Here is a 25,081-nt window from a genome sequence, read left to right on the forward strand (position 1 = left end):
TTAATTACTTACCAAAGTTTCTTTGACCTAAAGCATCTTAACTTTATTTGAAAAGAAAATTATTACTGGACAAAGATTATCTTACCAAATCTGTAATAACTGGTTGAATGTGAACTTTGTTACAGCGTGCTGTCTCTAGGGTACAAGCTGCTGCCTCAGGGTTGATATCAGTGCACCTATAAACAGAAATGGAAGGAAACTATATCCTATGTCCATAAGGCAAATCTGTTACTGAGTAATATCAAGGTATGTTCCATTAATTCTACACAGAACAGATTTAGAAAAAAAAAAATTAGAACGTATTCAATAATGGCAAAGAAAAAGAGAACAAGGATTTGTTCTATTGATGAAAAAGACTGTTATATTGATACAATGTCCAAGAGTAGAAGAATACACATACATGCACAGACATCTGAAGGAATTTATGAATTATACATCCAATGAAGGAGTACTATGCAGCCACCAAAAATGAAATTTAAAAGGAATTTTTGATAGGAAAATGTTTATGAGACGAAATTAAATTAAAAACACAGGAAATGAAAAAAAACAGAAGGAAACACAGTTGGACCATGTATGGTAAAATTTATAGGTGATTTTAATTTTCTTCTTTATACTTTTCTACATTCCCAATCTTCTATAAATTTAAGCAACTTTAAATGTCTTATGATATCAAATTACTTAGCTAAGAAATCAAATTTAGAGATGATCTAAAATTATGCTGCTTCTACAATTACGTAGTATGATGGAGCAGTTTGAACATGAATAATTTTTAGGGAAGCATAGTTTGTAATCTGAGTTTTTGCTATGCTTAAATACTATAAGATACATACTGTCTCTTTAAAAATTATTTCATTAGAGTTATCATAGTTAACCTGTCAGTGGAAGATCTAGATGAATATGATATACTTACATGTACAAAGCCTGAGGGCCTATCATAGAGGCTAGGAATGCAGATACTACACCAGACCCTGACCCTACTTCCAGGCATATTTCCACTCTGAAAAAAAAATAAATAAATATTAGTATAGTAGAATCAAAATACTCTTCACAGAAAACTCTCATGCTAGTGTTATTTCTAGCATATATATTTCTCTAGCATCATCACTCACCTGCAAATATATGAAAATAGAAATTTATAATTTCTGACAACTACTTTGTACTTAATATTGCATAACTCAAAATTACTAATATTTTGGGTACGTAATATAAGTCCATAAAAGTTATCTATTACCAAACATGGCTTTCAGTTAATTTCAACAAACCATTACATTAAAAAGTATGGAAAAATGTTAATCTAGGGTTGGAAATATTAATGTGAAAGACATCATTCCTTCGCACAAGGAGCTCCTAGCTTAGTATTTCCTAAAATAAAGTTTGTATTATTACAAAATTTATTTTTGAAAAAAGTTCCTCTATCATTTTTAATACCTAACATTCATAGAGCCATCAGTATATCCTAGAGAATTAAAAGGTCCCCCAATAATAGAGCAGGACAAAAATTCTTTTTCTGGACAGCTATATGCTAATTGGGAAAATAGTATCTGATCTTTGAATGTTAACCATCTTAGAATGCTGTTAACTATAAAATCTTCATTCTACTGTACTTTATCTTTCCATTAAATTTATTTTCTTGCCTATAATCTTGGAAGTTGCTTCTTTTTTAGAGACAGGCTCTTGCTCTGTCACCTAGGCTAGAGTGCAGTGGTGCCATCACAGCTCACTGCTGCCTTTAACTCCTGGGCTTGCTCAAGTGATCCTCCCACCTCAGCCTCCCAAGTAGTTAGGACTATAGGCACGAACCACAGTGCCAGCCCTCTATAATGTTATACATGCATCAAAAGCATAAATCATCCCCATTAAAAAGATCAGCTTGATGGCATTTAGGGAAATTTTTAGCACTGAACTCCCAAAACAACTACCCAGTGACAAGCTCCAGAGGTTTTAAACTTTTGGAACCAGTCTACACATCTGACAAGTCTTTATTAGGTGGTAGTAAGGTCTGAGAATCTCACCAGGTGGCTTCTCTTTGAAAATAACTATCATGGTCTCATAAATAATTAGAATTCCAAACTAGAAATAACCCAAGACTTTATAACAAAATCAGCTCCTTTTACAGCATACTTTGCAGTGCAATTTGTGCTTGTAAATCTTTCTGGGCTATCTTGAGAAGAAAAGACAAGTTATAAAACAGTACTGTTCCACTGTATATTCCAGTAGATCCAAAAGTTCCATCATCTACAATGAAAGACTAGTTTAATAAGAGCTGGGACATTTTATACTGGAGAAATATGACCAAGTTTAAGAGGGATAAATAAATACAATATAGATCTTTGAAACCTGAAAGCTGTTTGTTCCATCCTGAGAAAACCCAGTTCATCTTATCTTCAAACAAATCTAACAACCCAAATTCCTTACATTTAAAAATCACAATGTCAGTATTCATTCCTTCTGCTATTAATTTAAAATTGATGGCGATCACTTCAATAAATCCATTTAAATAAAGTGCTAGGGTAGACTATTGTCTGCTAGCTGCATGTAACTTTTTTTTGGTAACAATTAAATGAAAAATTCAGTTCCTCAATAGCACTAGCCACATTTCAAGCGCTCTGTAGCCACATGTGAGGACTGGCTGGTGCTAGAGTATGCTATTCAGTGGGTTTAAAAATATTTCCCCACTCCAGTAACACAACTTTCTTTCATGTTTGTTAAGGGTGCTTTCTATGTGCTGAGTAAATCAAATAATACCATGCAATTTTAATATGTAATACTTTAAAAATATTAATAAGCAATGTTTCCGGAATATTTTGTTTCCAAACGTGTTATACTATCGCTTCTCTCAGGGACATGTGTTCTTCAGATTAACAGGCGACAGGAAAAGATACGCCTTTGCATGGTAAGCAGTCAGGGAGCTCATGAGACAGAGCAGCCCCCTGGCAAAGGAGATGCGTCCCCGGCACACTCATTACTTGTAGCTACAGGAAAATTCTCAATTACGGCGTCCTGGCTGTCAATCATCTGCAAGTGGACCCCGCCTGCTCCGGCTCAGGGCGGTGATAGTCACCGTTCCGGCCCTCCTCCACCGCACTTCTTCAGAAAGCCGCAACCCTTTCCCGTCAGAGCCCCTCCCCTCCTCGCACCCTGCCAGTTCGGCAGCCGCTGCCTCCAGCGCGTCCAAAAGCAGAAACGTGTCCTCCGCGGGCTCGTACACGTCGCTGAAGGCGCCGCGGCCCACGTGCCCGTGGAACGGCGTAGCGAAGTTCTCCCCTGCCATAGTCCTTCGCTGCGTTCCATGCGCGTGCGCAGGGCGTGCGCATGCGCATGCGCATGCCCTCACCCTCATGCGCAGGCCTAGGAGTGGGGCTGGCGTCCCGGGCGACCAGTGTGTTGTTGTTGGGTCTTAATTCTAAATTTGTCAGTGGCTCTCCTTGAAATTGCTAAGTAGACAGTTGTATAATCCGTGACTATTGACATTTGCTTTCTTCTTTGGAACATTTAAATTTTATTCTGTGAACTAGAACCTGATAGTGGGCATTCTGAGTTGTTTTTGACTAAGGTGAATGTTCTTTCTTCATTCTAATGATATTTGGAAATTCTGTTTTATTCCTAGTTTGCAAGGATTTGAAAAAATACATAATAAATTTTACTGTTTTTTTGTCAGCTGAACTTTAAGCTTTACGCTATAAAGATGAAGACTTTCCTCGTTTTTTTACTGTACTTTATAAATTGCCTTCCTGATGAATCATGAATGCACTCTTTTTATAAACCTTAAGCAAGATGATGCGGTTTAATACACTGCTGAATTGGGGAGGCTAATAATCTGGCTCCGTTTTTTTTTACCAAGATTACGCTACCCTCGTTATGTGAGTTAGGACACTGTTTCTGGAACATTAGGTAGAAAGCCTTAAAACTGGCTGGGCTTGGTGCCTTTTTGAGTGAATGGATCTTTGATGTTTTGGAACATCTGTAAGTTATTAGACTATTCAAGTATTTGCATTCTTTTTGAGTCAATTTCTGAAATTTGTTTCGCAATGAAACATTTTTACAGCTCGTTTTTTAAATTTGAGAAATAAAAATACAGAAAAGTATTTGAGGTACAAATTTTATTTTATTTTATTTCTACTTATGTATTTTTTTTTTTTGGAGACAGAGTCTCGCTGTATCCCCCAGGCTGGAGTGCAGTGGCGCGAGCTAGGCTCACTGCAACCTCTGCCTCCCAGGTTCAAGCGGTTCTCCTGCCTCAGCCTCCGGAGTAGCTGGGATTACAGGCGCCTGCAGCCACGGCTGCCTAATTTTTGTATTTTTAGTAGAGACGGATTTTCCCCATGTTGGCCAGGCTGGTCTCAAACTGCTGACTTCAGGTGATCCACCCGCCTTGGGCTCTCAAAGTGCTGAGATTACAGGTGTGAGCCTTTAACGCACCCGGCTGGGTTACAAATTTCAAAACCCCAAGTTTTAAACCCAGAAATGACAGTATTTTCTCATGTTTCCTTAAAATATTTTTTAAATACAAGAACTAAAATATTACAAATAAGATGGATGTTCTTTCTCTATTTGCCTTCAGTTTAATTGTGTAACATTCTCTCCAAGGCTCTTATGGATTTAGTGTATGTCCATCTAATCCATGTAAAAACATGGATCTTGTATTTATACGTTTATAAACATTCATATCTTTATAAGCAACATACGGTGTATTTTAAAATTTACATAACTGGTACTAGGTTGGACATATTTTTCAAATTTCTTTTTCAGTCAACATTATATGAGATTTATGTTTTGATATATGGTTAGGTTACTCCTCTTAACTGCCATATAGAATTTTATTATGTAAAAATATGAAAAATATATATATATAGAAAGAGTTGTACTTGATCTCCTGGGTTCAAGCGATCCTCCTCCCTCAGCCTCCTGAGTAGCTGGAACTGGAACCATAGGTGCTCTCGCACCCAGTATTAGGAATATACAAATGTCTTTTTATCCAAAAATACAAAATAAATTATCTGTAGGCATGGACAGTGACAGCAGTAAAACATTATATATTTTGTCACTTGAAACCAGTAACTGATTGTTATAGTGATTTCCTAAACATCTGCTAGCCTTTTCTTCAGTCGTTTTCTCCAGCTGACTTCTCTGAAGTTATTGGTGAGGAATACTGCCTTGGGCTTCCTGCCACAGTTCATTAATTAAAGTAAAACGCTATTCTAATCATTAGAACTTGCCATTTCCCATAACACCTCCCGTTCCACCCATTGCACCCAATACAGGGTCCTTCTCTTTTTTTAGGAATTTCTTTGACTACAACTTCTGCTGTAGTTAACAGGCCACCCCAGCAGCATCCAGTAAAGCACTTCTCACAACCTTTGTTTTGTCAATAATTCCTTTTTTCCACCATATTCACAAAATCTGACCGTGGCATCACAACCAGCTTCTCAGGAACTGCATAATTTTCTGGACTATCAAAGATCCTTCAACACCCGCATTTTTAGCAATAGTCATTGCAGGAATTTTGAGTGTTTTCTTAATAGTTTCTGTACCAATTTTTTGATCTTCATTAGCTGGAGTCAATGAGTCCAAGGCACCAATTCATCGAAGTAGGGTACAACCCCCTCCCAGAACAATGCCTTCTTCAACAGCAGCTCTTGTAGCATTAAGGGCATCTGTAACTCTGTTTTTCTTTTCATTCACTTCAACGTGACTTGTCCCACTAACCTTCAGCACAGCTACTCCATCTGAAAGTTTTGCCAGCTGTTCATTCAGTTTTTCCTTTTCATATTCACTAGTTGTGACATCCAACTGCTCAATGATTTCTTGAATACGTTTTTAAATTTGAGCCTTGTCACCTTTTCCTTTTAAGAGCATAGCATCATCTTTGATCACAGTGACCTCTCCAACTTCTCCTAAGTCATGAGGCTGAACATCTTCAAGATTTGAGGTCAACTCCTCTTCTCCAAACACTGCACCACCAGTAGCAATTGTCATACCTTTAAGGTGGTTCTTTCTATTGTCACCAAACCCTGGAGCTTTGACTGCTACAACCTGAAGACCAAGTTTTCGCCTATTCAAAATGAGTGTACTTAGAGTTTCTCCATCAACATTTTCAGCAATTATGACCAAAAGCTTACGGTGAGCATTGGCAATTTCAAGATCAGGTACAATGGACTGGACACTAGAAATTTTCTTGGAATTCACATTTCCGACCTTTTGATGTATTAATAAAGTATGGAGAAATATATCCTCAAACTTTCATGCCTTCAATAATTTCTTTTTTTTTTTTCTTTTTTTTTAGATGGAGTCTCACTCTGTCACCCAGGCTGGAGTGCAGTGGCACAATCTCGGCTCACTGCAACCTCCACCTCCTGGGTTCAAGCAATTCTCCTGCCTCAGCCTCCTGAGTAGCTGGGACTACAGGTGCATGCCACCACACCCGGCTAATTTTTTGTATTTTTAGTAGAGACGGGGTTTCACCGTGTTAGCCAGGATGGTCTCAATCTCCTGACCTCGTGATCCGCCCACCTCCGCCTCCCAAAGTGCTGGGATTATAGGCGTGAGCCACCACACCTGGCCTCATGCCTTCAATAATTTCTAATTCATCGGTAGCGTTTTTCCATCTTTACTGTGGTGAAACCCTTTCTTCTGACCTTTTTCATTGCATCGGAAATTAGGTTGCCAATTTCTTTGTCTCCATTTGCAGAAATTGTAGCAACCTGAGCAATTTCTTCAGGGGTGGTCACAGGTTTAGACTGCTTTTTAAGTTCAGCAATTACAGCATCAACAGCTAACATCACACTTCTCTTGATTTCCACTGGATTAGCACCTTTGCTAAACTTCTTGAAGACTTCCTTGGCAACAGTAGCAGTGGTAGTGCCATCCCCAGCCTCTTCATTTGTGTTATTGGCAACATCTTGAACAAGTTTAGCCGCAATATTTTTATATTTATCCTTTAAGTCAATGGACCTTGCAACAGTCACACCATCTTTTGTTACTTTGGGACTTCCCCAGTTCTGCTCAGTAATCACTGTTTTTCCCTTTGGCCCCATTGTAATGGCTACAGCAGTGAGTAAAAGGTCTACACCTTGAAGCATTAAGACTCAGGCATCTGAACCAAAAATTGTACATCTTTGGCATAAACCCGAGTGAGATGAGGAGCCAGGACCCTCGACACTGGTGTCATCTGACTTAAGACTGTGGGTAATTGAATCATTTCTGCGGGGCAGTGGCAGGGCTTGCGCACGCTGACCGCAGGCTGTCGGTGATGAGTGAGGGGGCTTGTTCTAATTCTTAAAGGAAAGGCTTTCAGCTTTTCCTCGTTGAGTATGATGTTAGCTGTGGATTTGTCATATATACCCAGTTTGCGTGTATTTTTTTACCCACAACATGTTCAACATTTTTATCATAAAGGAACACTGAATTTTATTGAATGCTTTTTCAGCATCTATTGAAATGATTACATGGCTTTTGTTCTTGGTTCTGTTGACATGATGTATCACACTTGTTATTGATTTGTGCATGCTGAACCATCCTTGTATCCCTGGGATGAATCCCACTTGATCATGGTGAATGACCTTTTTAATGTGTTGTTGCACTCAGTTTGCTAATATTGCATTGAGGATTTTTGCATCTATGTTCATCAAGGATATTGGCTTGTAGTTTTCTTTTTTTATTGTGTCCTTGTCTGGTTTTGGTATGTCAGGTTTGTGTGTGTGTGTGTGTGTGTGTGTGTGTGTTTTAACATTAGTGACTCCATTTTGATTCTGACAACTTTCACAGTAGTTAGTGAAATAATAATCTAAGATAGATAATTTTTTTCATTATTTTTATTTTTTCTTTTGAGACAGGGTCTCATTCTGTCACCTAGGCTGGAGTGCAGTGGTGCCATCATGGCTCGCTCCAGCCTTGACCTCCTGGGCTCAAGCAATCCTCCCATCTCAGCTTCTCAAGTAGCTGGGACTACCGCACATGCCACTGCACCTGGTTAATTTTTAATTTTTTTGTAGAGATGGAGTCTCTCTATGTTGCCCAGGCTGATTTCAAACTCCTGGGCTCAAGCAGTTCTCCCGTCTTGGCCTCCAAAGGTGCTAGCATTACAGATGTGAGCCATTGCACCCAGCCAATAGATCATTTTAAATGCATCTTCAAGAATGGTTCTAAAGCTTTAGAACCATATAATTTGTTCAAATTGTTTTTTGTTGCTATAAAGCCTCAAGGTTGACCAACACTTAAAACACTATGATACAGAGTAGGAGAAAATATTTGCAAAAGACATATCTGATAAAGGACAGCTATCCAAAATATGCAGAGTATTAGAACTCAAGAATAAGAAAAGGAACAACCTGGACAGACACCTCACCAAAAAGAAAAGACCCGGACAGACACCTCACCAAAGAAGACATGTGGACGGCAAATATGCATGTGTAAGGATCCTGAAAATGATATGGCATTAGGAAATTGCAAATTAAAGCCACAATGAGATACTGTTACACACTTATTATAATGGCCAAAATCTAAAACACTGACAACAAATGCTGAAGAGAATGTGCAACAATAGGAACTTTCATTCATTGCTGGTGGGAATGCAAAATGGTACAGCTACTTTGGAAGACAGCTGGGCAATTTCTTACAAAACTAAACATACTTTTACCATACACTCCAACAATAGTGCTCTTTGGTATTTACTCAAATGAGTTGAAAACCTGTGTCTACACAAAAACCTGCACACTGATATTTATAACAGCTTTGTTCATAATTGCCAAAATTTAGAAGCAATCAAGATGTCTTTCTCTAGGTGAATGGGTAAATAAACTGTGGTACATCCAGAAAACAGAATATTATTCAAAACTAAAATGAAATGAACTATCAAGCCATGAAAAGACATGGGGAAAACTTAAATGCATATTGCTAAGTGAAAGAAGCCAATCTTAAAAGGCTATATACTGTATGATTCTAACTATATGACATTCTGCAAAACACAGAACTATAGAGGTAGTAAAAAGAACAGTACTTGCCAGGGGTTAAGGAGGAGTGAGAGATAAGTAGATGGAACACAGAGGATTTTTTAGAACAGTGAAACTATTGTTTATGATACTATAATTGTGGATACATGTCATTATACATTTGTCCAAAGCCATAGAATATACAACATCAAGAATGAACTCTAATGTAAGCTATGGATTTGGGGTCATAAATGTGTATAAATGTAGGTTTGTTGATTGTAACAAATGTACCACTCTCTTGTATGAGGCTGATAGTCGGGGAGGCTATGTGTGTGTGTCAGGGGGTGCAGAGTATAGATGGGAACACCCTCTACTTTGTACTCAATTTTGCTGTGAACCTAAAACTTCTCTGAAAGATAAATTTTATTTTGAAAAACACTATGGGCCGGGCGCGGTGGCTCACGCCTGTAATCCCAGCACTTTGGGAGGCCGAGGCGGGCGGATCGCGAGGTCAGGAGATCGAGACCATCCTGGCTAACACAGTGAAACCCCGTCTCTACTAAAAATACAAAAAATTAGCCGGGCGTGGTAGCGGGCGCCTGTATTCCCAGCTACTCGGGAGGCTGAGGCAGGAAAATGGCGTGAACCCGGGAGGCGGAGCTTGCAGTGAGCCGAGATCGCGCCACTGCACTCCAGCCTGGGCGACAGAGCGAGACTCCGTCTCAAAAAAAAAAAAAAAAAAAAAAAAAAAAAAAAAAAAAGAATGAACTCTAATGTAAGCTATGGATTTGGGGTCATAAATGTGTATAAATGTAGGTTTGTTGATTGTAACAAATGTACCACTCTCTTGTATGAGGCTGATAGTCGGGGAGGCTATGTGTGTGTGTCAGGGGGTGCAGAGTATAGATGGGAACACCCTCTACTTTGTACTCAATTTTGCTGTGAACCTAAAACTTCTCTGAAAGATAAATTTTATTTTGAAAAACACTATGATACACTAAAACTTCTTTTGTCCTTATTTGGTAATACTTAGAAATATAATTTTATTAAGATTATATTTAAAAGTAGAGTCAAAAGATATGCATGTTTTAGTGAAATATCTTCTATTGTTATTACTATCATCATAGTTATTATTATTTGACTTAGAAATCCTCAGTAGACATTATGAAATTAGAGATCAGTAATGTTCTAGTTGAAAAAGACATATACTTGATAAAATTGCTTCTTATTCTTTTGGCGTTACTGTGGTTAAGAGTCTTGTGCTGTAATGATCTCAGTTAAAAATAGTAAAAAGAATCTCTTGAATATTGTGGTGGACTCTGCACAGTTCATGCAACAAGAGGCATGGTTACCTGCCCATATAGCTTTGTTTGTATCAGCCAGTTGAAATGTCAACATGGTTCCTTATCCACTGAATAATTTCACAACCCTCCTCTTAATTTGGTTGCTTTGGACACATTCTATCCTGGAAACAAAATCTAGGCTTCATAATACATTCGGAAATAATAGATTCATGTTCTTTTTTTCCAGCTGGTACTGGTAGAGTTTACACATTTACTCCTGCACCATAGGAACAGCTGCTTAAAAAGCTGAAGTGTGTATTTGATTCCATTACATTGGCACAATAGAAAGTCATGTAAAAGAGGGAGACTCTCTCAGCTTCTCCATATTTGGAAAATTAATTCTTTTAAGTGCTTTAAAAAAAATCTCTACAGGTGGTCAGACTCTATGAACTTAGGACCAGAAATGACCTCATCACCTTCAGCTGGTCTAAAGTTGTCTTTGGCTGCTGCACACTTCACAAAATCTTGTTAATTATGATTGTTTTTCCTAGTTATAAGTCCTTCTGGATACATTTTTATAGCATTTATTTTTATCGCTTACATAACTACATAAAATATTTTCATTGGTGTCAAAATGTCATGTTATTGCCAAATAGATTCCATTTCAATTTCTAGAAATTATTGGAAAGTTAATACCCACATTTTAATGGCACCCTTGCTGTGGTATTAAATCATGTTTTATTGAAATTCACAAGAATCAAAATTACGCTGCGTTTATCCAGAATAAAGCACTAGAACAGTTACTTTTTGGCCGTCTTGCCCATTAATTTCTATGCTTGCACTTTCTCTTTAGACAAACAATGAATGAAATTTAGTGTCTTTCTAGAATTGAATTCTCATGAAAGTGATTGTCATATACACACTCATCATCTACTTCTCTTTTCAGCTCAGTGATATTTAGTTCAAGAATTGGTAGGTGAATCTTTTCCCTGGCTTATAAAACTTCACCCTATTTATTTCTATTTCAAGAAAAGTAAAAATATTTTAAAAAGTAAAATTAGGCAAGAAAGTCATCTTGCTAGCTAGGCATTTGGTTTCTCCTTAGAGGTGTTATTTAAGAAAACTCAGTCCCCTAGACATCATTTCAAGAACATAATTGTTTAGCTGCAAAGCTACAGTTTTGGGTAGAAAATTCCCTTTGAGGGTTGCACATTGAACCCATATTTAGAGAACCTGAGAAATGAGCTTTCAGCAGCAATCCCATTTACTCTTCTCCCCACAGCCTGGGGCATCTGGAAGAAGCCACCAGGAAAGCTGGAGGATGACTAAAGGGCTGAGTTTGATCCAGTTTGCCAGATTAGGTCCATCGCCCTGAGGCCCTTTTTTGCCTAGGTCCTGCATATTCCATGCTATAGACTGAATTACGTCCCTGTAAAATTCGTATTTTGAAGCCTTAACCCCCAATGTCACAGTATTTGGAGATGGGGTCTTTGGGACATAATTAAGTTTAGATGAGGTCATGAGGCCATGGGATTAATACTCTTAAAAGAAGTGGCATCAGAGAGCTTGCTGTGTCTCTTTCTGCCACTATGAGGACACAGTGAGAAGGCAGACATCTGCAAGCCAGAAAGAGGGATCTAGCTCCAACCATGCTGGTGCATGAAGACTTCCAGCCTCCATAACTGTGGAAATAAATGTCTGTCGTTAAGCCACTCAGTCTATGGTATTTTGTTATTGCAGCATGAGCTGAGGAATAGAAATGGTCCCCAACCTAACAATGGTTCCACTTAATGCTTTTTTGACTTTATGATGGTGCAAAAGTGAAAAGCATTCAGTAGAAATTGTAATTGGAGCATCCATACAGTCATCCTGGTTTTTACTTTCAGTATAGTATTCAAAAAATTACATGAGATATTCCACACTTTATAAAATAGGCTTTGTTGTTAGATGATGTTGCCCATCTGTAGGCTAATGTAAGTATTCTGAGCATGTTTCAAGAAGGTTAGGCTGGCTGGGCGCGGTGGCTCACGCCTGTAATCCCAGCACTTTGGGAGGCCGAGGCGGGTGGATCACAAGGTCAGGGGATCGAGACCATCTTGGCTAACACGGTGAAACCCCGTCTCTACTAAAAATACAAAAAATTAGCCGGGCACGGTGGTGGGCGCCTGTAGTCCCAGCTACTCGGGAGGCTGAGGCAGGAGAATGGCGTGAACCTGGGAGGCGGAGCTTGCAGTGAGCCGAGATTGTGTGCCACTGCACTCCAGCCTGGGCTAAAGAGCGGGACTCCGTCTCAAAAAAAAAAAGAAGAAAAAAAAAAGAAGGTTAGGCTAAGCTACAATATTCTGTAGATTCGGTGTATTAAATGCATTTTAAACTTAAGATATTTTCCATTTATGATTAGTTTATTGTGACATAACCCCATCACAAGTCAAGGTGTATCTGTCCATCCCCCAAGGACAAGAGACTTGGAGCCTGAGCACACAGGGATGGTGCAAACTCAGATGTTGGTCCAGACAGTTCAGGAACACATGTTTTAAAATTGGAATTGTTGCCTCAATTTTCTCTTTCAGTGTGTAAATGGAACCTCCAAATAAGATTAAATTGAAGAGAAAGCATTAAAGGGCAGTATTCCAGTGGAATCCATGAACAGTTTGTAAGTAAAATTACTTGTTTGTTTGCACTGATTTGCTAAGGAAGGAAAATTTTAAAAGTAGTCGTTGTTCTTAAGAAAGTTAAATTTATAGTTTAAGTTATGGTATATTTTATACTGGGCACTGTGCCTTCCTCATAATATTCTTATTAAATATTTGTTGATTTAAGATGTTTTTTACTTCATCACATGTATTTAGCAGAGTAAATTCTTATAAAAGAATTTTATCACATTCTTGTGACAAAGTATACTCCATGCTAAATGTGGTACTAATTACTTGAGTGTGAAGGTGAAGATTTTTCCTGGCAAATTTGGAACAGCAGCTTAAAAAATAGGTAATACACAGCTGAAGAGTCTTTCTTTCCAGATTCAACTCATATACCTACTATCTTGACTTTCTCTAAGCCTATATATTTAAATTCTAGAAACCACCACATTCACTTATTAAACACAAATGCCAAGCATGCATCTAATATTTATTACATTACATTTTTATTTTTATGAAATACTGATTGAAACAAATAGTCACCCAGGACAGGGGTCCCGAACCCCTGGACCACGGACTGGTATTAGTCTGTGGCCTGTTCGTAACTGGGCTGCACAGCAGGAGGTGAGTGGCAGGTAAATGAGCATTACTGCCTGATCTCCGCCTCCTGTGAGATCAGCGGCGGTGTTAGATTCTCATAAGAGCACAAATCCTATGGTGAACTGCGCATGTGAGGGATGTAGGCGGTGTGCTTCTTATGAGATTTTAATTAATGCCTGATGATTTGAGGTGGAACAGTTTTATCCTGAAACTATCCCCTCTGCCTCCTGGCCATGGAAAAATTGTCTTTCACGAAACTGGTCCTTGGTGCTAAAAAGGCTGGGGACCACTGATCTAGGGCATAGCTAGTTTTTGCCATAGCTATGTCATAACTAGATGTGTTGTGATAAAATCTCACCTGTAGATCTGAGTTGAGCATATCAGCCTATTTCACTGTGGTAGACAATTCTGTCTGCCGTGGTCCTCCAAAGATATTCACATCCTAATCCCCAGAACCTGTGAATATGATGCTTTACATGGCAAAAGGGAGTTTGCACACATGATTAAGTTAAGGATCTTGATGTGGGGAGACTGTCTTGGATTAACCAGGTGGGTTCAATGTCATCAGAAGGCTCCTCCTATGAGGAAGGAAGAGAGTCAGAAATAAGAGTAGGATATATGATGTTCAAGCAGAGGAGAGAGAAAGAGAGAGAGAGATTTGAAGATGATATGCTGCTGGTTTTGTTTTGAAGATGGACGAAGGGGCCCTGAGCCAAGGAAAGCAGGCCACCTCTAGAAGCTGGAAAAGGCAAGGAAATGAAATCCCCCAAGAGCCTCCAGAAGGAACACAACCATGCCAACCTGTTTTAGACTTCTGATCTCCTGAACTGTAAAATAATAAATATGTGTTGTTTTAAGGCAATAAATTTGTGATAATCTGTTATAGTAGCAATAGGAGAAGAATACAGCAAATCAACACTGATTTTATTTTCTTAACATGGTGCAACTAATACCAACTTAAAAGCAATTTAAACTTTACACACTAGTTGTCAAATTCTCTAAAGAGACAAACCTAAATGAATATGAGACTAATTTAACCTTCTGACATCTATGGGCACACTGAAGACTGGGAGAACTGGTAGTGTTCACGTGGTGTTTGTCCAACCCTTTAACCCAGCACCCTCTAGACCTGCACTGTCCACCCCACCTGGAGCTACTGTGCCCTGGAAATGTATCTAGAATGTAATGGGATGTGCAGGAAGTCTAAGATACACTGTGGATTTTGTAAAGAAGAGTGCAAAATACCTTGATAATTTTTGTTTTGTTTCGTTTTTGAGACAATCTTGTTCTGTCATCCAGGCTGGAGTGCAGTGACACAATGTCAGCTCACTGCAACCTCCTCCTGGGTTTAAGTAATTCTCCTGCCTCAGTCTCCCAAAAGTAGCTGGGACTACAGGCACGCGCCACCATGCCTGGCTAATTTTTGTGTTTTTAGTAGAGACAGGGTTTCACTATGTTGCCCAGGCTGATACAAACTCCTGACCTCAAGTGATCCACCTGCCTCAGCCTCCCAAAGTGCTGGAATTACAGGTGTGAGCCACTGCACCTGGCAATAATTTTAAAATATTGATCACATGTTGAAATGATACTAGTTTGGATATATTGGGTTAAATAAAATATATTACTAATTTTAATTTTAACTTGTTTTAACTTTATGAATGCTGTTACAGGAAAGCTTAAATTACATATATAAGTCATATTTTATTTCTATTGGACAGTTGCTCTAAACAGATGAATTCTATGTAATGATGTAATTAATATAATGTAGGTTACTTATGTCAATTGATAGATTATTGATTAATCATTAGACTGCTGCAGTTGAGAGAGTTAATGGATTTTATATATATTTATGCAGTTTAAAACTAGCATCTCCATTTTTTGTAGTCATATTTTGCCAGAGTCTGACCTCTACAAATCTCAAATTAAATTGTGGTGAGTTAAGTCAGACTTTGAAAAAAATATCTGGACGAATGCCTAAGGAATAGTGAGAAATCCTGTTGGCAGCTCAAAGGTGGCATTTTTGGATGGCGGGAGGTAGGGTTTTCTGTGGTGGGTGAAAGTGACCTTTGTGGATGTTTTGTTGCTTTTTTTTTTAAAGGAAGGAAAAGTAGTCCATACCTATGAAGACATTGTTACTATAAAAACCTTAATTTAGGTAATTTTTTTTGGTAAAATGAAAAACATATTTTTTCCTTTTAGTGTAGGAATACTTACAGGGAAGACACAGAATTAAAAAGAGGAGGCAGCTTGCTGGGATGAAAATCACCCAGTTGAAGACATTAGGAAAGACCTAAACCTTGTGGCTTCATTAACACATGTGTGTCTGGTTAGGAATAGAATATGCTACCAATAGAATGATTAGGTTAGAGCTTCCTAGACCATTGGCAAACTAATTTTTTTTGGGGGGGGAACAAATTTATTTTGATTTTTCTGAAAATATCAGGAACTATGAAAAACAAGGTTGATATTTGGCTGTACCAAAAGCAAAGTACAAGTAAAAATAACATTTGAAAACCATGTTTAACCTTAGAGAAACATGTTTTAAAATACAAAGTTTAACATTCTTTTCTCTACAGATTTAAACAAGTTTTCTAAACCACAAGACTGCAGGTTTTTTTTTTTAACTGACATAATTTTTTAGAAGAAAAAACTAAAGGGGAATAAAAAGCACTTACCTCCTACCCTGGAATCTCATTATTTATAAAATAACATGCTCAAATATCAGTGAAAATAAACAGTTGATAAACCTGAAAAATCTTTTAATGAGTTCAGGTTACAACCGAACGCAGGATTTTGTAGCTGGGAAAGAACAGCTTGTATAACAACCAAGCCTTACCAAATACAAATAGAGATAAAAGGCAATTAAAAGCAAATTATAAAATCAAAATATTTCCGTAGAGTGGCAGCCTTCACAAAGTAAAAACAACTTCGTTCCACAGAATTGTATGTTCTGTAGGCATATGGTCAATTCTTTTCCGAGTCCTTTTGTCTTGCACTATCAAAATAAAAGAATCTTTGTCTTGGAGCAAGTCTGCTAAAGAAGGCACCAAAATTCTATCCTCCCTATTCCCCTAAATAATATTAATAAACCTCTTATCAATCCTTTCAAGGTAACTTCAACGCCATTAAGAATTAATATTCTAAATATGTAAAGCTATAGAAGGAAGGTCCTGCCTATTCTCTTTGCCCCTCTCAAATCATTCTAGTCTGGTTTACCAAACAGAACCACTAGCTAAGAGGATAGAAATATGTTCCCGTGTTCACTAGCCATTAAATAAACATAGCCACTTGTGCAGGAAGCCTAACGTTTTTACTACTTCCTAACTTTTTAAAACTTAAGGATAAGCCCATTTCCACAAGCTAACTTTACAGCTCCTTAATATTCTTAATCTGGATGGTTTACTTTGCAGACTTTGTTGGTGTCTGCCTTTTTCAATTATTTTACCCAAAAATAGGCCTTGAAAAAACTTTCAAATTCAGGAAACCCCTGCAGGGAACCCTCATGGTGTGTGAGTGTGAGCACTAAGTTGAAGAATACTCTTATTTCACAGAAATGTAGGACTGTCAGACTAGGGCTGAGTTCATTCTCTTCCTTCAGAGACAAAATTTCAAGCTGAGCAGATTTGGAGAAAGGGTTCCCCATACAGTCATATACTAGTGCTGGGAAAAGGAGAGAAAATACTACTTAATTGTGTTTTGTGGTTCCTCCAGGTGGGTTATAGCAAGATTTGAGAGTTGTACTCTTCATTTTCAAGTCCAAGTGGCTGCAGAAACATTTCAATAATTCCCCTGGCAAGGTAGCAAATCAGTTTCCTTTTTGATCTAAGACTCTTGTCACTTTAAGAAAAAAAATTTTCTCCAGGACCTTTCAGAGACTTGTTCATTTGTTCATGTGATGAAAATCGTCTGCTAAATCGGCTAGTTTCTGTAGCTATTTTTCATTTCCAAAGCATTCAGCAAAAGCTGGCTATTTTCTTGTAAGTACTCTGGCAATTCACCTTTCAACTCAAAAGTCCTGTAGAGAACTCTTCCTCTGAAAAGCCACTGGATATCTGTATGGTACAGGAGGTTTATGCGCTGTTTGTCCAGGTTTTTGTTTTGGGTGTTTTTATTTTTTTAACATTTTTGCATAAATGGGTCTTTGATACAGGTAACCAGTTTTGTAGCATTATTCAGAATGTCATTGTATCTTCAAGTTTTTGATATCAGCATCTCTGTGAAGAAAGCAGTGTGCTATAGCGTCAACATCAGGATTTCTTTCTTCTTTTTTTTAATGATGCAAAATGACTTATGGAGACAACCACTGATGGGGCACCAGGAGTGTAGATAACAGACCTCTGGTTATCAGATATGATATCACAACATTGTATATTGGCCTTTGTTTTGGCAGGCTCCTAGCAATAGAAAAAGTTTTCTTTGAATTTCATCACTTACAAATCTTACAAATGCTACAGCATGACAAATATTAGTGAAACCCGTTGACTCATCATCCTGGATAGAGAAGCTGCTGCTTTTCTCTTTTTTTGAGACGGAGTCTTGCTCTGTCATCAGGCTGGAGCACAGTGGCGTATCTCAGCTCACTGCAACCTCCGCCTCCTGGGTTCAAGCAGTTCTCCTGCCTCAGCCTCCCGAGTAGGTGCGACTACAGGCACACGCCACCACGCCCAGCTAATTTTTGTATTTTTAGTAGAGACAGGGTTTCACCATGTTGGCCAGGATGGTCTCCATCTCTTGACCTTGTGATCCTCCTGCCTCGGCCTCCCAAATTGCTGGGATTACAGGCGTGAGCCACTGCACCCGGCCTGAAGTTGCTGCTCTTCAGTTAATGACACAAAACCTTTGTAGCATCGTATGAGATATCATCAGTAAATCAACTTACTGAGAATAAAGTCTTTTCAATTTTGTACTGCATCCTGCCCCAGCATTTTAATGTTATTAGATTCTCATCAACTATGCATATTTTTCTTTCCTGAGATAAGTTCTGCTAGTAAATAATTTGCTTTCAAAACATTTTGACTAAACGTGATTTTTGAACAGAAGCCGTACTGTTTTGATGGTCCAAAAGCCAACTGAAGATAATGAATATCCTTTCTTGTCAAGTGCCTGTGATTTATAGTTACAATTTTTAGTTTTGTAAGTTGCATGCCACAGACAATGCACAGTGGGACAGGACAGCTTGGACTGAGTCCATATTAAACCCTTAAGGAGCAGCTTTCATTATAAAGACAGAATCTCTTTGTGTCCCTTGTTGTACTAGAATACTGAAGTATACTCAGAAGACCAAAATTCTTCATCACCAACCTTTTCAGAAATGTCTGTAGCTCTGTGCCTAAAATGCCTCTCTTCTTTCTCACATCTTACCTTCCAAAATTGCAGCACTGAACTGTCAGCTTTGTTACACACAAATGTTAATATAATATAAAAACAGGCCAGGCGTGGTGGCTCACGCCTGTAATCCCAGCACTTTGGGAGGCCGAGGCAGGTGGATCACGAGGTCAGATCGAGACCATCCTAGCCAACACGGTGAAACCCCGTCTCTACTAAAAAAAAAAAGCAAAAAATTAGCCGGGCGCGGTGGCGGGCGCCTGTAGTCCCAGCTACTCGGGAGGCTGAGGCAGGAGAATGGCGTGAACCCGGGAGGCGGAGCTTGCAGTGAGCCGAGATCGTGCCACTGCACTCCAGCCTGAGTGACAGAGCGAGACTCTGTCTCAAGAAAAAAAAGAAAAGAAAAGAAAAAATATATATATATATATGTATATATACACACAGACATAACCAAACAAGAAAATCACAAAGTACAAAAACTTCACCAAACAATTCAATTCTAACCTACATGATCCACACTTTTGCAATGTTTACAACAAAGTGGCAGGGGGACAGCTGAGCTGTGGCATGTAAACCTCCTTCCTTCAAATGAAAACTCCCCTCTGATTTCCTACTTTACAGTCAGTTCACTACAGTAAGTCAGCTGGCACCACATAAGAGGAGCCTGGGAGAGGCCAACGTCCCCCTCTCCTCCCATCCTCCCCTCTTTGCAATAGTGTGGCACATGGGTCTGCCTCTACATAATACCATAAGGGCTGAAAGTTCCCTAACAAAATGATTAACAGGGCTGTGCAATCATTGTTCACTACTGCGAGAATAGCATAATGCAGCACACAAATAAAAAACTGTTTTTAGTCACAATTTAAGGTGGAACCCCAGCAACATCTCATAGAGACCCAGTTGAGAAACCCACCTCCAGCACGAAATGGCCTCCTATGACAGATCATTTTCATTTGATTTGGACCCTTCTGTGGCTTGACTTGCAAGTTCAGGTTTGGCTCCTCCCTCATTTATCACCTGCGGATTAGACGTTCTTTTCCGCCCTAGCTCTTCAGTATTCTCTGGTACCTGCTGGTTATTTTTCCCTTCTGCTGTATTGTTTTGATCTGATTTGTCAGCAGCTTCCAGTTTACCTTCCTTCCCATTTCTCTGCTTTGAATTAAGCTGTGATGGACCCTTAGAGCTCTTTATCACCTCCTGGAGATTGAATTTTTTTTTTTCCTTTTTTTTTTTCCTAATGCTCTGTTGCCAGGCTGGAGTGCAATGGCACCATCTCGCCATCTCAGCTCACTGCAACCTCCGCCTCCGGGTTCAAGCGATTCTCCTGCCTCAGCCTCCTCCTGAAGAGGTGGAACTACAGGCCCACACCACCACCTCCAGCTAATTTTTGTATTTTTAGTGGAGATGGGGTTTCACCCTGTTGCCCAGGATGGTCTTGATCTCTTGGCCTCATGATCTGCCTGCCTCCTTGGCCTCCCGAAGTGCTGGGATTACAGGCATGAGCCTCCACGCCCAGTCGGAAACTATTTTCTAAACTACATGTAATCTTTCAGGACACTCAGGCAACATAATTTCTACTATCACCGTGTACTGTGGATTGCTGAGAGCCACTTTACTTTCTGAATTGAGGGTGCACACTATTCCTGCCAATTTTTTGATAACTTCTCTATTCATGTGACTGTGTCCGCAGTTGGTTCCTTTCAGTGGGTTCATAGTCTCACTGACTTAAAGAATGAAGACGTGGACCTTCGCGGTAAGTGTTACAGCCCTTAAAGGTGGCACAGACCCAAAGAGTGAGCAGCAGCAAGATTTGTTGTGAAGTGCAAAAGAACAAAGCTTCCACAGCATGTAAGGGTACCAAGCAGGTTGCCGCTGCTGGTTGGGGGTGGCCAGCTTTTATTCCCTTATTTGTCCCCGCCCATGTCCTATTTCTGCCCTATCAGAATGCCCTTTTCTCAATCCTCCCTGTGATTGGTTACTTTTAGAATCCTGCTGATTTGTCCATTTTACAGAGGCTGATTGGTCCATTTTACAGAGCTCTGATTGGTCCATTTTACAAACCTCATGCTAGCTACAGAGCACTGATTGATGCATTTTTACAGAGTGCTGATTGGTGCATTTTACAAACCTCTTGCTAGCTACAGAGCGCTGATTGGTGCATTTTACAATCCCCTTATAAGACAGAACAGTTCTCCAAGTCCCCACTCCACCAGGAAGTCCAGCTGGCTTCACCTCTCATGACTGCTATTTCAAGATTTGTACACAATCTGAAATGTCCCTTTGTTTGGAGCTTTAAACCAGGGTTCCAAAAATGTTTCTGCATATTTTTTCATATCTTTTAAAAAAGCTTTGCATGTGCCTGAGATGGGTAACATTCGTAGAATAACTTGAGTCTTCTTGGTTTTGTACTCATCCTGGAGAATATGATGCACCAGTTTCTCAGGTTCTTTCCCAAGTGTCCTGATGAAGGCGACGTTATTTGCTCCACTTTCCACTGACTGGAATCCTCTTAGGCTCATCTCTGTAGATGCCTCAATGTCACCAACTTCTTTCTTCAAGACAGCCTCCACATCATCATCTTCTCCCTCACTTCCAGAGGGCTGCTGATCCTTGTCTGTAAACTTTTCTGGCCCATACATGTCATCGCCATATTCGTTGAGCAGGGTGTAAGCCTCCTCCACACACTTGGCGCTGGTTCATGTTGCAGGTGATGAGGATGCCCGTAGCCCGGGCTCTGGCTGACTGGGCCCGCCAGATTCGCAGTGCCGAGCTCGCTTGACCAGCACATACTGAGCCTTGCCTCTGTGCTTCCCGCCGCCAGGCTGAGGAGGCTGCTGGGCAGCAGCCGCCATGATGTGTGCAAGCTGAGAGGAAAGAGAAACGTTTCTCCACTGCAGTTGGCGTCCTCACCTCCCGGCGAACTTCTCCACGGTTTACGGGTGTGAATAGAAGAAGTATGATGGCTTCAACATTTGGCATACATATGCCTTTTTACCTGCAGACCATGAGTAGTTTTGAATCACTTCAGTGTTTTTTGTCTTCTCACAGAGTCTTCATGGACACATCTTTCTCTTTCCGAAGAAACAAATTTCTTTTGAAATCCTGTTAGTGTTTCATGAAGGCATCTAGCTAGTGCAGCTTCCTGGACCAGAGTTATGTTTGTATGATCAAGAAATCTTAGGAAACTAAACAGGATCCGAAAGCAATTATGTTTTGTGTGGCGACCACCTTAGAGTTCAGTGTTGAAAAAAACATATATGTATATTAGGCGTGTGTATATATGTATGCAAAGCAAAGTGATGTATATTTGGCAAAAGACAAAACATTTGCCTTCTGGGCACTCCATACCATTTTGCGAATGCTAAATATCACCTAGGACATGAGGCTCATGGTTTGACACTCAGCATGAAAAAATATATATTAAGAAAATTTAGGCTGGGCGTGGTGGTTTACAACTGTAATATTAGCACTTTGGGAGATTGAGATGGGCGAGGCTAGAGGCAAGCAGTTCAAGACCAGCCTGGCCAACATGGCGAAACCCTGTCTCTACTAAAACTGCAAAAATGAGCTGGGTGTGGTAGTGCATGCCTGCAATCCCAACTACTTGGGAGGCTGAGGTAGGAGGATTACTTGAGCCCAGGAGACAAAAGGGTTCAGTGAGCTGAGATGGTGCCACTGCACTCTAGCCTGGGAGATAGAGCAAGACTTTGTCTCCAAAAAAAGAAAAGAAAAAGAAAAACAGAAAATTTGCACAAACTTTATAATTTCAATAAGTAAATAAGTGGCATAAATGATTATTAGTGGAAGGATTTCTCTTTAAATTACTTGGATCATCCCTCCCCCAACCCATCACCAGTTTTTTACTTTATTTTGTAGGGGCTGCCACACTCATCTAGGGGCTGCATCTACTAATTGATGTAAGTATTGACCACTTGCGGTGTTTTAATGAAATAGTAACCTCTGAAAAGTTTCCCCACTTCCTGACAAATCCGTGTACACTTATCATTGTGGTATAAGTGTACCACATGCACCAGAATCTGGTGCATGTGTTTATCTCAAATCCAGGACTGTTTTTATGTTTACAGACCATGCACTGCAAGTCTAAGTGTTCTCAGGTAAAGCTGTCAAGGCAGGAGGCTGAGTGAGGACACACCAGCTTTACCTGCCTTGGGGCACTCCTGGGATTGATTGGTTTCCCCAGAGCCATAAAATTTTTTATTATTCTTCTGCATATATCAGGCCACGGAACTGTGTGGCCTTCTGGGACTTCTGCTGCTTGTAAAATGGCACAACATTTTTGTTGGCTGAAGTGCAGGGTGAGAATTGCTCATCACCCTTGCAGAGCAACTGGAGACCTCTTTTAGGGTCATTGGTTAACCTGCACCAGAGGGCAGTTAATGAGCCAATGAAGGAAATGCTAACATTAAATTAAATATGTGAAGAAGGATTCCTCCAGGCATCAGATGAGCTAGATGGGGTAGGAACATTGAGAGTGAAAATCTGGGAAATAACCAAGTGCTTTGTTCTTTTCTAAGGCATGCAGAACTCATTACTGTTGATGGAAGCAAAAACAACAAGGCTGAGTGCCTTGACTAAGTCAGAGGTTAGAAACCCTCTGGCTCAACTTTATTGGCCAATCTTCATTAGGTGAGCAAAGAAGCCTCTAAAGAGAAGAAGCTTGTTTGCCCTACTGGAAGAGCAGTCATTGCTTTTATAAATAATCAATACCACATATCTTTACATAGAGTTTCATCATACTTAAAATATTTCAGCTTCTTCCTGGTGTAGAAGTTATAGATGGATTAAAACCAAATGCTTAAAATTCACCCCCCAGAGAATAGGGAATTGGTCTTAGAAAATGGTAGTCTTTGAGCTGAGAGGTAAGTTGCATACTAGATATCTCTTACTGGAAAGTCCTACTGAATTCTTCTGACCTAAATGAGTACGATTGAGCCAATTGCAGTAGCAAAAAGAATTTCAGATGGTATAATGCAGCAATTATATATAAATCAGGCCTTGGAACTGACAGACCAGGTGCCAAATCCCTACTAATTTCAGTGTTATTTAACAGAGTAGAATTACAGTATATAGTTTAACAAAATAGTTGTACAGAGCTTTATTCAGTTCTTTTGGTTTTAAAGAATAGAGAGTCACCTGTTCCAACAATTAAAAGAATTTTAATGTATCAGTATGATATATATGTATAGATAAATGCACACACACACACATATATATATATTTGAGAAAGATCATCTCTTAGAAATCCAAGAACAGGATTTGTAATAGAATAATTTCTAGGGGAAGTGATTTGGAACCCAAGACAAGTCTGGGATCCTCAGAAGCAGAAGTCCATTAATTTCACTCTGAGTGCCCCATGTTAATGTGAAGACACTATGCATCTGTTGTCTTCTCTGTGCTCCCCTGTCCACCAAAGGGCTTGTGTTTTCTGTATTTCACAATTCAGGCTCTCGAAACAGGCATTCTGGCCTGTTTGAGCACAGACTTATTGGCCAGGTCACATTTTAGCCCAACTGCTAGTTTATGGATTGGCTGGTGATGGGACAGACAGGCCTTTACTCCTAATCCAATTAAAGATGTTCATTAAGAAGGCTGCCCTTCATTGAGGGGAATGGGTGGACAACTTCCTTTTGCTAGGGTGTGACTGGCATAATGAATGATATGCCTGACAGTCCTTGAGAGTTGGTTATGGGTAAGTTAGATCTGCATGCCATCTTACTTTCTGATTACACTTCTTCACAATCATTGGAACACAAGTGGAAAGAAGATAAAGATCCCCTTTATTTGAGAGCAAATCTTCTGAATATCCATTCAATGAAACTCAGATACCCTCTCTAGGTAAGACTTAACTTTGTAACCTATTCACCACAGAAATGTAAACATAAAAAAATTGTCCTATAGTTAAGTGACAGAGCAGAGTGAATCTTAAGCAGAAGGGTCAAGTAGGCAATGAGATTTTTTTTGTCAGAGTCATTCTTTCTTTTCAAACCCAGAGCTATTTCATATACTAGCAAATTAAAGGCAGCTGTACTTTGGGAGGAAGAGGATGTGATTTAGTTGGCAGATAACCTTAAATCACACCTTTGCCCCATAGCCTATGGCCTTGGGTAAATAAATGAGCTTCTTTGAGCTTTAATCTCCTCAGTGTCAAATGTAACTATCTGCTATGGTCTGAATGTGTTCCCCCAAATTCATGTATTGAAAACTTAATCCCAAATGCAACAGTGCTGAAAGGTGAGTCCCTTTGGGAGGTGTTTAGGTCATGAGGGCTCTGCCTTTATAAATAGATTAA

The 25,081-nt window shown here is 39.5% G+C and overlaps 1 protein-coding gene and 2 pseudogenes across 4 annotated transcripts in view, besides 4 other annotated features; all 3 read right to left on the bottom strand.

Moving 5' to 3' along the window:
* Positions 1-3,293, bottom strand: part of HEMK2 (HemK methyltransferase 2, ETF1 glutamine and histone H4 lysine) — a 309,770-nt gene extending 306,477 nt beyond the window's left edge. For all 4 annotated transcript variants that reach the window (XR_007067787.1, NR_047510.3, NM_182749.5 and 1 more), the window contains exons 1-3: positions 3,138-3,293; positions 911-997; positions 86-176 (exon numbers count right to left, since the gene is read on the bottom strand). Coding sequence is in view for 2 of the 4 variants with exons in the window: in NM_182749.5 (NP_877426.4) it covers positions 86-176; positions 911-997; positions 3,138-3,271 (312 nt within the window). In the remaining 2 variants the exon portion in view is untranslated. The remainder of the gene's footprint in view (positions 1-85; positions 177-910; positions 998-3,137) is intronic.
* Positions 2,592-3,151: an enhancer, noted in NCBI's record as "OCT4-H3K27ac hESC enhancer chr21:30256988-30257547 (GRCh37/hg19 assembly coordinates)". NCBI's record gives its function as "activates a minimal SCP1, AML or CMV promoter by ChIP-STARR-seq in naive and primed H9 embryonic stem cells {active_cell/tissue: H9 hESC(naive and primed)}" and the evidence as "EXISTENCE:reporter gene assay evidence [ECO:0000049][PMID:30033119]".
* Positions 3,147-3,206: an enhancer, noted in NCBI's record as "active region_18323". NCBI's record gives its function as "activates an Ori minimal core promoter by ATAC-STARR-seq in GM12878 lymphoblastoid cells {active_cell/tissue: GM12878}" and the evidence as "EXISTENCE:reporter gene assay evidence [ECO:0000049][PMID:35858748]".
* Positions 3,147-3,710: a biological region, named in NCBI's record as "OCT4-H3K27ac hESC enhancer GRCh37_chr21:30257548-30258106".
* Positions 3,152-3,710: an enhancer, noted in NCBI's record as "OCT4-H3K27ac hESC enhancer chr21:30257548-30258106 (GRCh37/hg19 assembly coordinates)". NCBI's record gives its function as "activates a minimal SCP1, AML or CMV promoter by ChIP-STARR-seq in primed H9 embryonic stem cells {active_cell/tissue: H9 hESC(primed)}" and the evidence as "EXISTENCE:reporter gene assay evidence [ECO:0000049][PMID:30033119]".
* HSPD1P7 (heat shock protein family D (Hsp60) member 1 pseudogene 7) lies at positions 4,912-7,260 on the bottom strand (annotated as a pseudogene).
* Positions 19,492-21,694, bottom strand: THUMPD1P1 (THUMP domain containing 1 pseudogene 1; annotated as a pseudogene).

The sequence above is a fragment of the Homo sapiens genome, chromosome 21 (assembly GCF_000001405.40).
Source record: "Homo sapiens chromosome 21, GRCh38.p14 Primary Assembly".
Classification (NCBI taxonomy): domain Eukaryota; kingdom Metazoa; phylum Chordata; class Mammalia; order Primates; family Hominidae; genus Homo; species Homo sapiens.